The sequence below is a fragment of the Homo sapiens genome, chromosome 5 (genome assembly GCF_000001405.40).
Source record: "Homo sapiens chromosome 5, GRCh38.p14 Primary Assembly".
Taxonomy (NCBI): domain Eukaryota; kingdom Metazoa; phylum Chordata; class Mammalia; order Primates; family Hominidae; genus Homo; species Homo sapiens.
The window spans coordinates 35,626,900-35,639,994 of record NC_000005.10 but is presented as its reverse complement, the minus strand read 5'-3'; the positions used below and the strand labels follow the sequence as shown (position 1 = coordinate 35,639,994).

General features: G+C 37.2%; 1 protein-coding gene and 1 pseudogene across 19 annotated transcripts in view; one reads left to right on the top strand and one right to left on the bottom strand.

The window, feature by feature from the left end:
• SPEF2 (sperm flagellar 2) overlaps positions 1–13,095 on the bottom strand; it is a 196,749-nt gene that overhangs the window by 174,617 nt on the left and 9,037 nt on the right. For all 19 annotated transcript variants that reach the window (XR_925655.3, XM_011514136.4, NM_024867.4 and 16 more), the window contains exon 2: positions 11,433–11,535. Coding sequence is in view for 18 of the 19 variants with exons in the window: in XM_011514136.4 (XP_011512438.1) it covers positions 11,433–11,535 (103 nt within the window). In the remaining variant the exon portion in view is untranslated. The remainder of the gene's footprint in view (positions 1–11,432; positions 11,536–13,095) is intronic.
• Positions 6,971–7,032, top strand: RNU7-130P (RNA, U7 small nuclear 130 pseudogene; annotated as a pseudogene).

Here is a 13,095-nt window from a genome sequence, read left to right as displayed (position 1 = left end):
TTCTAATCAATCAAATTTGGGGAACAGAACTTGTGTGTAAATTGGTGGAAGCCTACTCTTGTTAAAGCATGGGTAGAATCAGAATGATAGGATAATCAACAGTTGTTTTTTGAACACAGAAAAACCACTGGGACATCTTTGCTCTGGAGACAGAGCATATGAGGTAAATGATGACCTCTGAGGGACCTCTCTACCAGCAGTCCTTGCTTGCTAAGAGACTACCTATCTCCTTCCCTTCTTGCCATCTGGTGAGGGAATACCTCTTCTTACAGGTAAGTAGTAGCTGCCCTCCGAGAAATTGTCTTGACTATTTACTTTAAAAAAAAAAAACAAATCTTCTCAATTTTCACTATTTGTGAAGGAATAAAAATATTCAAAATCAGGGAATTCTTTCAGAGTTAGATGAGTATTCTTAGAATTAAATTATTTCCAAGATGAATAACTTTAAGTTATTTACAAAATATATTTCCAGTTTACATTTTAAACTAAAGAAACTAAAAGTGTTAGATAAGATCCCCAAATCATGAGCCCTGGCACCAGTTGCCTAAAAATTAGGCTATGACAAAAAAGGGATTATTTTCCCTACCAAATATACCATTACAAAGGTTATGCCCATAAAATTTACTGATCCTTGTCTTATTTAAAAGACCATGTGCCCTGGGGAAAAAATGGGCTGTTCCAAGAATTGAAGATGGATGATATTTGGTTCTCAATACAAGTAGGACCCTCTTCCCACATTAGGGAATGCAATGACTCGTGGTGAGAGAGAAAGTTAGTCCTTTGTAGTATATGACAAGCAGGGCTGTTACAAAGGACACACATCTATCCAAAGGTGGAACAAGAGTATGAAATCTACCCTCTGTTCAGATTGTTAAGCCTTGTCCCTGGCATGAGACTGCTTCATCCAAAATGGGGCTCCTTTTTCCTTGTAAAAAGGCCTTTGTGTTCACGAAGGCCTGCATTTTTACAGTCATTTCCAGCCAGATGGGGACCCTTTTTCCATTTCACAAAAGGCCCTCTGTGGTCCTGCCAATAAGAGCCACTTTGGTACACCTGAAACACTCATCTGCGATCTGGTCAGGATGGTCCTTTAACTTTTCCATGGTTAAGCAGATATACTCCCTGATATCCCTCATTTATTCATTGGAAACAATATTATGAGCCTACTATGGACCAGGACAATGCTTGGAGCACAAAGAATAAACACACGCTGCAACTTTCAGGATCTTCACAATCTAGTTGAGGAGTAAACATTCATTTATCATTCATTAAACGTTGTTTGGGCTCCTTCATGTGGCAGGCACTCTGATAAGAACTGATACATAAATAAATAATTATAACTTGATAATGATAATGTAATAAGGAAAGGGATGTCCAAAGTTTTATTAGAACAAAGAGAAAAGGGAGACTAAATCTACTAAGAAAGTAAAAGAAGAGTTTAGAGAAGGAGTAGATTTTTAGCTGGCATTTCAGAATAAATACAAGTTTCTCATGGTAGAAGTGAAAAAATAACATTAATTTGCAAAGGTGCAAGGCATAACAAAAACATACGATGTGTATGTGGACCACAGAAGCTTTGGTTAGGATTCTCCGTTGATGGGAAATGTGGCTGGAAAGGTAAATGAGGGTCACACCGAGAAGCACCTTATAAGCCATGACCTTGAGAGCAACAGAGAGACTGGAACACTTGAATTTCTTAAGCTGATGGGGATATCATACCTAGAGATATGAGTGTAGAGTTTTAGCTTCATGTTGGGAAGTCTAAACAAGGTCTTTATCTGTAGAATTTACTAGGAAATGTAGACATTCATTAATTTAAAAAACATTGACTGAAAGCTAAATATGCACCAGGCCTATGTTAAGCCCTAGAGATATAAAGAAAAATAACCTAATACCCCTAACCTCATGGTGTTCTGTGCAATGTGAAACACAGATAAAGAAACTGACAACAAAGTGATCAGTGTTATAAAAATTAAATGTGTAGGCTGAGTTTCTCACTTTCATAAAGGGATAGACAGCAACAACAACAAAAGGATTGGACATCTGGTTACGTGCAAGTCATAACACATCAATCTATATGTATAAGAACTCCTGAGAAATCACAAAAAAGAAAATGAGGGCATGGACACTGACCTACCTACCCTGGCATTCTTATACCTTGGAGGGTAATCCAGCTTCTAATGGTGGCAGCAAGGCTAGGTACAGAGGGAGCGAAGGGCTGAGAGGTCAGGAAGAGGGGGCAGCTGGGGCTAACAACGAATTTATATGCCATGTACTTGAGGAAGAGATGTGTGATATGAGATGTAGGTATGGGTTAGGATGTTACCCTGTACACCAGAAGCTCAAGAAATTAGATGGGATTAGCAAAAAAGGGTTTATTTGGTATGACAGTGTAGTTCTAATCCATGGCTTCTTTTGTGTCATACAGTTGCTATATGTACAACTAGGATAATCTGGATTATGAAAGAATAATTCACCTCTAGCATGGAAATATCAGAGGTTCTTTTGCTCAGAAGTCTTATAACACAGGTGCAGCTTCATAAAGGCCTATCATTTCAGACAAACAAAAATAAGAAGTACTTAAGCAGGAAGTATCAGGTTAAAATATTATGAATTTGAAGTACATCTTCGTAAATGGCAGAGTGAGAACCTCCAAAAATCGGTTCCTCCTTAAAGGCAACAATAACACTCATAAAAATTGTAAAAATCAACCTTTTCATAACTCTGGAAATTAGCTAAAGGCTTGTAACAACTCAAGGAGCATTTATTTAAGAAAAGCTGCTTAATAGTGGTAGGAAAAGAGAGCTTTTTGTCATTTTAGTTTGCTCCATGTCCATACCTCACTCCCTAGCTCCATGGTGGCTATGAAAACCGGCAGCAGACTTACAACCATGGCAGCTATAAAAACCAGCAGTTTAGCAGTCATCAAAGCAGACAAACAGATTTGAAGCGCCTCCAAAGTCCTGTCTTCAGAGTGTTGCTTTTCTTTTCTTTTCTTTTTTCTTTTTTTTTTTTTTTTGAGACAGAGTCTCACTCTGTCACCCAGGCTGGAGTGCAACGGCGCAATCTTAGCTCATTGCAACCTCCATCTCCCAGGTTCAAGCGATTCTCCTGCCTCAGCCTCCTGAGTAGCTGGGAATACAGGTGCCCACCACCATACCCAGCTAATTTTTTGTATTTTTAGCAGAGATGGGGTTTCACCATGTTGGCCAGGCTCATCTCAAACTCTTGACCTCAGGTGATCCACCCACCTTGGCCTCCCAAAGTGTTGGGATTACAGGCATTAGCCACCACACCCGGCCCAGAGTATTACTATTTGACTACCCAGTAGTGTTGTGAAAATCCCCATTTTCAGGCCTTGTCATTATTTGACCTGATAGAGCTTACTCACTGAAAAAAGTCCTATCCCAAGGGTGTTAGGAAAAAACAATCATAGCAATTATTTATAATCACAGTTACCTGAGACAGTAAAACCAGCTGGAGCAAAGAAGAGCCTGGCCAAAAACTTAAAAGGAAGACCTAGGAATGAGATGTCTGTTAGGGACTCTGAGGCCATATGCATGTGTAGGAATGTATGGATGCCTAGGAAAGACATGAGGAGGTCCAAATCTCTCACCTTTGGCTGACTTTGAGATGTTGCACAAGCAGGAAGTAAAGGCTAAGGGAAAATTGTAAACTGCCAGAGCATTGAAAACATCCCATAATCCACTCATAGAGTTTCTTAGCAAAGGAAAATGTATTGGTCCAAAGTGTTGAAAGATATCTCTATTCAATTGCTGACCACTAAGCTAATCAACTAGAGACTTCAGTTGCAGTATACAAGAGGGAACATAGACTTTACAGAATTAGTCCAGGAGAGCTACTAAACAAACAAACAAACAAAAAAAGCAGAAGCAGCAGCAACAACAACAAACCCTGGGAATATGTAATAATCTGAATTGACACATTATATTATTTTAAATGTCCAGTTTTCAAAAATTATGAGACACCCAAAGAAACAAGAAAGTATGACCTATACACAAGGAAAAAAAAGTGAATAGAAACTCCGTGGGGAAGTCTTGGACAAAGACCTTCAATGGCCTATTATAAATATGTTAAAGAAAGGAAAAGAAACTATGTTTATAAACCCTATTCCTGTTTAGAAAAAAAAAGTGCAGCACACTGCCAGTGCTTATTTAATTTTACATAAACACTCTATGAGGCTGAAGCAAATCTGACGAATTTTCAATGTGAAAATAAAATATAAAGACTGTTCTTGGAGTTATTTCTAAACAGAGCAAACACCAGAATCATCTGAATCATCAGAATCATGTATTTTGGAAAAATTGGATTCGCCAAATAAATCTTTGGCCAACAACTGTTGGAAAACAGTGTTAACATTATACATAGGAATGCTATGTTTTCTAGGATTTGACGTTTTTGGTGATTGAGAATTACTACATTTTGTAAATGGAAATATCACTGCTAAAAACTGAATCCTGTAAATAGAATGATGTCTTTTGTTTCCAAAGTCAATATACTAGAGCAATGCAAAAACAATAATAAAAGCAAGATATTTCATGGTAAAGTTATCTCAGGGTAAATGCTATAGCTGCAAGCACTACCAGCTAGTGTTCTCAGGGTAAATGGGAAAATGGTTAAAGTTAAAATAAAGTATGAGAATACCATTTCAACAATAAGAGAGTATCAATACAGAAATAGAAGTTATAAAAATAGGAACACAGTGAAATTCTGAAGTTGAAAAGTACAACTGAAATAAAAACATTCACAATAAGAGTTCAACAGCAAACTAGAGTTGGCAGAGGAAAGAATCTCAGATCTGAGAACCCAAAGACAGGTCAACTAAACCTATTCAGAGGAGGAAAAAAAAAGCATGAAGAAAAATGACCAGAACCTCAAAACACATACATCCACTCTAATCATGAGAAAAACATCAGAGAAATTCCACCTGAGGGAAAATCACTTCGCTAGTATTCTTCAAAACTGTCAAGATCATCGAAAATAAGAAAAGTCTGTGTGAGAAACTATCACATTCAAGAAGAGCCTAAGGAGATACAATATGATATGCTTGATGGGATCCCGGAACAAGAAAGACATTAAGTAAAAAATAAAAAAAAACCTAAATGGCATATAGATTTTATTTGATAATAATATACAAATATTGGCTCATTAATTGTAACAAATGTACCACACCAATGTAAGATGCTAGCAATAGGTACGAATAGATATGTACAATATAGGAAATCTCTGTATTATGTCAATGATTTTTCTGTAAATCTAAAACTGTTCTATAATAAAAAGTTTATTTAACAATGAACAAAGCCTCAGAGACCTACAGGACATCACCAGGCATACCAATATACACATAATTGGAGAATGATATGGGAGAGAGAAAGAAAGGGGACAAAAAGAATCTTTGGAGAAACAGTGGCCAAAACTTCACAAATGTGATGAAAGATATGGATCCACACATCCAAGAAGCTCAATGAACTGCAGTAGGTTAGTCACAAAGATATCTACACCTAGACATATTATAGTCAAGTTGTTGAAAGACAAAGACAGAGAGAATCTTAAAAGCATCAAGAGAAAAAGAAGACATCAAATACAAGAGCTTCTCTATAAAATAAACAGCTGACTTCTTGTCAGAAATTAGGGAGGCCAGAAGACAGCTGGAAGACATGGTCACAGTGCTGAAAAAGAAAAACTGCAAATCAAGAATTCTATGACTGGTAAAAATATGTATCAAAACTGAAGGATAAACAAAAACTAAGATAACTCATTGTTAACATAGCTGCCCTATAAGAAATACTAAAGGGAATCTTTAAGTCCTAAATGAAAGGACAATATACAGTAACTCAAATCACATGAATAAATTTTAAAGCACATCAGTAGAAGTAACTACATAGAGTAACATAAAAAATAGTTTAAATATATTTTTGTTCGTAACTATTTTCTTCTCCTTATCTGATTTAAAAGTTAAGTGCATATAGCAATAATTATAAAACTGACTTGATGGGCTTAAGATGTAATTGGTAGGAGACAACAATAGCACAAAAAAGGAGGAGACAACTGAGCTACACTGGAGCAAATTTTTTTCTTTACTAATTAAATTAAAGTAGTATTAATCTGAATAGTTTGATTTAAATTAAAATATTAATTGTAATCTTCATGAAAACTAAGAAACTGACTCAAAAACTAAGAAAAGTAAGAAAATGACTCAAAAAATACAGTAAAAGAAACAATAAGGGAATTAAAATGGTATTAGAAAATATCTAACACTAAAGAAGGCAGTAGTAGAGCAGTAAAAAAGACATAAGACATATACACAACAAATACCTAAATCACACACTTAAATCCTCCTCCATAATTATATTGTAAATAAATGGATTAAATAACTACAATTACAAAGAGGGAATTGACAGAATATACAATCCAATCATATGCTTTCTACAAGAAAATACACTTTAGATTCAAAGACACAAATTTATTGAAAGTAAAAGGATGGAAAAACATATATCAAGCAAATAATAACCAAAACAGGACTAGAGTGACTATAGTATCAGGCAAAATTGACTTTAAGAAAAAAAAGTATTACTTGATAATAAGAATATTTTATATTGTTAAAAAGGTCAATCCCTCAAGAAGACATAACAATTATAAACATATATGCATCTAACAATGGAGCCACAAAATACATGGAGGAAAAACTGAAAGAATTAGAGGGAGAAATAGACAACTCAACAAGAATAATTTGAGACTTTGGTTCCAACTTTCAATAATGGATACAGCAACTATGCAGAAGATCAGTAAGGAAATGTAAGACCTGGATAACACTATAAACCAACTGGACCTCACAGATATCTATACACACTTTAATGAACAATAATAGAATATACATTCTCTTCAAGTGCATATGAAACATTTTCAAAAAGAGAATATACGTTAGACCATTTTTAAAAACAGCTTCAATAAGTGTTGCAGCTCCTTTAGAATTTGTCTAGCAGGTTTTATAGGTTTTACCAGAAAACTTCCCACCAAAAAAAATTTCATTAAGTTTAAAGAGATTGAAATAACTGTGTTGTCCAATGACGATGTAATTAAATTAGAAATAAATAATACAGTAAATTTGGAAAATTCAAAAGTATGTGGAAATTAAATAACATACTCCTAAATAATAATGAATCAAAGAAGAAACCACAAGGGAAATTAGAATATTATTTGAGATAAATAAAGATGCAAAATGACATACCAAAACTTATGTGATACAGCTGAATCAGTGCTTAGAGGGAAATTTATAGCCATCAATGCAAATGTTAAAAAAGAAAATCTCAAATAAAAAAGTTAACTATCCATAACAAGAAACTACAAAAAGAAAACTAAACCCAAAATAAGCAGAAGGCCAGAAATGACAATAAGAACAGAAATAATAAAGTAGCTGATATGGTTAAGCTTTGTGTCCCCACCCAAATCTCATCTTGAACTGCAATCCCCATAATTCCTACATGTCTAGGGAGATACCTGGTGGGAGGTGATTGGATCATGGAGACAGCTTCCCCCATGTTGGTCTTGTGATAGTGAGTGAGTTCTCATGAGATATGATGGTTTTATGCGGGGCCCTTCCCACTTTGCTACTCACTCTTCTCTCTCCTGCTGCCTTCTGAAAAAGGATGTGTTTGCTTCCTCTTCTGCCATGATTGTAAGTTTCCTGAGGCCTCCCCAGCAATGTGGAAGTATAAGTCAATTAAACCTCTTTCCTTTATAAATTGCCCAATCTCGGGTATATATTTATAGCAGTGTGAAAATGGACTAATACAGTAAATTGGTACCGGACAGAGTGGGGTACTACTATAAAGATACCCGAAAATGTGGAAGTGACTTTGGAACTGGGTAACAGGCAAAGGTTGGAACAGTTTGGAGGGCTCAGAAGAAAACAGGAAAATGTGGAAAAGTGTGGAACTTCCTAGAGACTTATTGAATGGCTTTGACCAAAATGCTGACAGTGATACGGACAATGAAGTCCAGGCTGAGGTGGTTTCACATAAGACAGTATAGTATTTGCATATAATCTACATACATCCTTTCATATATTTTCAATCATCTCTAGATTACTTATAATACCTAATACAATGCCTGCATATTACTTCATTCTTGTGGATTCAACGTAGTACTCAGTTTGTGACAAATACAAGTTTTGCTCTTTGGAACTCTGTGAAATTTTTTTCCCAAATATTTTTGAATTGCAATTGCTTGAATTCATGGATGTGGAAATCATGGATACAGAGGGCCAACTATATCTGAGTTGTTTCTACTTTTTGGCTATTAGGAATAATCTGCTATGAACGTTGTGTTATCACATGGATAGGTTTTCATTTCTCTTGGGTATATATCTAGAAGTAGAATTGTTGGGTTTGAGAGTCTATGTTTACCTTTTGAGGCACACCTAAACAGTTTTTTTAAGTGCCTGAATTAGTTAAATTCACACTAACATTGTAAGAGGGTTTTGATTTCTCCATGTCCTTATCATCACTTGTTATTTTCCATCTCTCTGCCTATAGCCATCCTAGTGGGTATGAAGTGGTGTCTTGTGATCTTGATTTGCATTTTCCTAATCACTAACTGATATGGTTTGGCTCTGTGTCCCCACCCAAATCTCAACTTGTAGCTCCCATAATTCCCACATGTTGTGGGAGGAACCCAGTGGGAGATGACTGAATCATGGGGGCAGGTCTTTCCCATGCTGTTCTCGTGATAGTGAATGGGTCTCACAAGGTCTGATGGTTTTAAAAACAAGAGCTTCTCTGCACAACCTCTCTCTTTGCCTGCTACCATCAATGTAAGATGTGGCTTGCTCCTCCTTGCCTTCCACCATGATTGTGAGGCCTCCCCATCCATGTGGAACTATAAGTCCAAAACAACTTTCTTTTGTAAATTGCCCAGTCTTGGGTATGTCTTTATCAGCAGTGTGAAAATGGAATAATACACTAATGATGCTGAGCATCTATTCATCTCCTTATTAGTTATGTGTTAGCTTCTTTGGTGAAATGTCCATTCAGATCCTTTGCCTATTGTTAAATTGGATTGTCTTTTTACTATTGAGTTATAAGTGTTACTTATATATTCTAATAGCCACACAGAGATGAGGAACTTGTTTGGAACTGGAATAAAGGTGATTTTGCTATGCTTTAGCAAAAAGACTGGTGGCATTTTACGCCTGCCCTAGAGATCTGTGGAACTTTGAACCTGAGAGAGAGACGATTTAGGGTTTCTGGTGGAAGAAATTTCTTTTTTTTTCTTTTTTTGAGACGGAGTCTCGCTCTGCTGCCCAGGCTGGAGTGCAGTGGCCCAATCTCGGCTCACTGCAAGCTCCGCCTCCCGGGTTCATGCCATTCTCCTGCCTCAGCCTCACGAGTAGCTGGGACTACAGACGCCCGCCACCATGCCCGGCTAATTTTTTGTATTTTTAGTAGAGACGGGGTTTCACCGTGTTAGCCAGGATGATTTCGATCTCCTGACCTTGTGATCCACCCGCCTCAGCCTCCCAAAGTGCTGGGATTACAGGCTGTGGTGGAAGAAATTTCTAAGCAGCAAAGCATTCAAGAAGTTTGCTGCAGGCATGGAGCCCTCATGGAGAACCTCTGCTAGGGCAGTGCAGAAGGGAAATGTGGGGTCAGAACCCTCACACAGAGTCTCTAGTGGGGAACTACCTAGTGGAGCTATGAGAAGAGGGCAACCGTCCTCCAGAAACCAGAATGGTAGATCCACCGACAGCTTGCACCATGCACCTGGAAAAGCCACATACACTCAACACCAGCCTGTGAATGCAGCCAGGAGGGGGGTTGTACCCTGAAAGCCACAGGGACGGAGCTGTCCAAGGCCATGGGAGCTCACTTCTTGCATCACTGTGCCCTGGATGTGAGACATGGAGTCAAAGGAGATGATTTTGGAACTTTAAAGTTTAATGACTGCCCTATTGGGTTTTGATATCTGTAGAGGGTCCAGGAACCAATACCCCAAGAATACCAACAGAGGATTGTAACCATCAATTGATAAATAGATAAACAAAATGTGGTATGGTATATCCATATAATCGAAATTATTGAGAAAATAAATAGAAATGAAGAAATACTGATACTTGCTAACATGGGTGAACCTTGCAAACATTATCCTAAGTGAAGAAGCCAGTCACAAAATGTCACAAATTGTGTGATTCCATTGATATAAAATGTGTAGAATAGGCAAATCCATAGAGACAGAAAAGTAGATTAGTAGGTGCCAGATGCTGGGTGTTTAGATGGTGGCGATGGTTGTGAAGATACTAAATATGTGAATATATTAAGAAGCACTGAATGGTGTGCTTTAAAATGGTGAATTGTGGTACATAAATTATATTTCAATATAGCCACTAAAAACAAAAACCATTATGAATTTTTTATTAGTAGTTAAGTTCTATTTTATATTTTTAAAACACAAATAATCATACTAATTGTCCACCCAAAGCACTATATGTTGTTTCACTTCTTCTCTTAAAAGAAGGAACAGGCCGGGCGCGGTGGCTCACACCTGTAATCCCAGCACTTTAGGAGGCTGAGACAAGTGGATCACGAGGTCAGGAGATCGAGACCATCCTGGCTAACACGGTGAAACCTCGTCTCTACTAAAAAAAATAGAAAAAAAATTAGCCAGGCTGGTGGCAGGCGCCTGTAGTCCCAGCTACTCGGGAGGCTGAGGCAGGAGAATGGTGTGAATGCGGGAGGCGGAGCTTGCAGTGAGCCGAGATCACACCACTGCACTCCAACCTGGGCAACAGAGCAAGTCTCAAAAAAAAAAAAAAAAAAAAAAAAAAGGAACAATCGATTAACAAAACAGAAAGTAATCTGGTGTAAATAAGTCCCATTTAGAGATGAGGTCTTGCTGCAACCATATAACAATCTCTCCTTTGTACTCTTGAGACAATAAAAAATGTATGTGCAAGAAAGGAACAATTTCCATATCAATGGTCTGCTTGGGTGTTCAAGGTTTGGAAGGGATCTTATGATTCATGATTCTTTGAAGTTAACTTTGGAAAATGCCAAAGAAATGAACTTTTCTTAAAAGTAAAGAGTAGTCCAGAAGCGGGGGTGCACACATGTAATCTCAACACTTTGGAAGGCTGAGGCAGGAGGATCTCTTGAGCCCAGGAGTTCAAGACCAGCCTGGGCAACAGGGAAAAACCCCGTCTACACCAAAAATACAAAAATTAGCCAGGCGTGGTGGCATGCACCTGTAGTCCCACCTATTTGGGAAGCCGAGGCAAGAGGATTGCTTTATCCCAGGAGTTTGAGGTTGCTGTGAGCTATGATCACGCTACTGCACTCCAGTCTCAGTAACAGAACAAGACCTTGTCTCAAAACAAATAAACAACAACAACAACAAAAAGGAATAATCTCACTAACCTGCTGTCCAAAAATTCTGAAAAATCATCCTGAAGTTCAAACTTGTGTAGAACTTCTCCAAGTAGATAGCCACTGGAAAATGCCTTTGCAAATGACTTGGGACCTGAGTTTCAAAACATTGAGATAAAAACCATGAATACAATGTTGCGCATAGAGCTAATGATCTCTTTAAATATACATACACTAAAAACTACACAATTTAACTGGAACTCAAAATGCCATGAATATATTTCTAGAAACATCTTTTAATAACCAAAGGAAAAGGTTGACATTTAACAGTAGATATTTTATAAAGATTCCCAAATAAATATAAATCAATAATTGATGAAATACAAAATTTTGAAGGAAAAGACAACAGATAAAATTTTTTTTTAAAATGCTACCAAAAAATTTATAAATAACATTAGATCTAAAAACTAGCCTTAAAGATATTTTATAAAATCATACTCTAATACTTTAGTTACTCACACAACCTATGATGACAGCATATTTTGGCCAAGTGAGATGAAAGCTAACTTCTTTTAAACAAATACCTCATTTTAACCTGCAAAACAATGGAAAGTTTACTAAAGCCATTTGCACCTTCTTAAATAAAACCTCCTGAACATAATCGAACTTCTCCTTCATGGTTCAGAGGGGACACTATGGCCCAGTTATTGTCCTATGCAATTACTGAGAGATAGCCCAGGGGAAAACTGACTTTAGAGCCAGAGATACCTGTGCTGGAATCTTGGCTCTGCCCCTTACTAGCTGTGTGACGTTGGGCAAGCTGCTTCATCTTCCTGAGTTTCAGCCTCATGTCTAGAACAAAGATAACCATATCTATATCTTATATCAGAGAGCTATTTAATATTAATAGCTCTCTTTTGCAGCAGTGTTTGAGAATTGCTGGGTGCCATGCCTGCCACATAGTAGGCACATAATGATAAGTGCAGAATTTTATTTTATTTTTTGATGGAGTCTCACTGTGTCGCCTAGGCTGTGGCCTAATCTACAACCTCTGAGTGCAGTGGCCTGATCTACAACCTCTGACTCCTGGGTTCAAGCGATTCTCCTGCCTCAGCCTCCCGAGTAGCTGGGATTACAGGTGTGTGCCACCACACCCAGCAAATTTTTGTATTTTTAGTAGAGAGGGGGGTTTCACCATGTTGCCCAGGTTGGTCTCGATCTTTTGACTTCATGATCCACCTGACTCGGCCTCCCAAAGTGCTGGGATTACAGGCATGAGCCACCGTGCCCAGCCGAGAAAAAAAATTTTTAAGTGTTCAATAGGATTTGCTTTTTTAAAAAATGTTCTTAGTTTTGAGTTACTTGTATTTTTCTTATAAAGTAAAATATATAGACTTACATGATATTTAAGGATTATATACAAAATAAATTATATTATCATAGGCCAAAGCTATCATCTCTCAAATTACTTCAAAATCCTCCACAGATATTCAACCTGCTTCCATCAGGTTAACATATAATATAACATATTATATTAAATATAATATTTTAACATCGGTTAAAATATTATATGTCATTGCAGTATCACAAATTCAGTTTTGCCAGATTGTTCTATTTTACCTGTCTGACTAATAATGAGGTGGCTAATTGACAGTGAAGAAATAACATTTCTTCATGATTTGTAGAAGCGATGCTTGGTTGTGTGGTTGTAGGA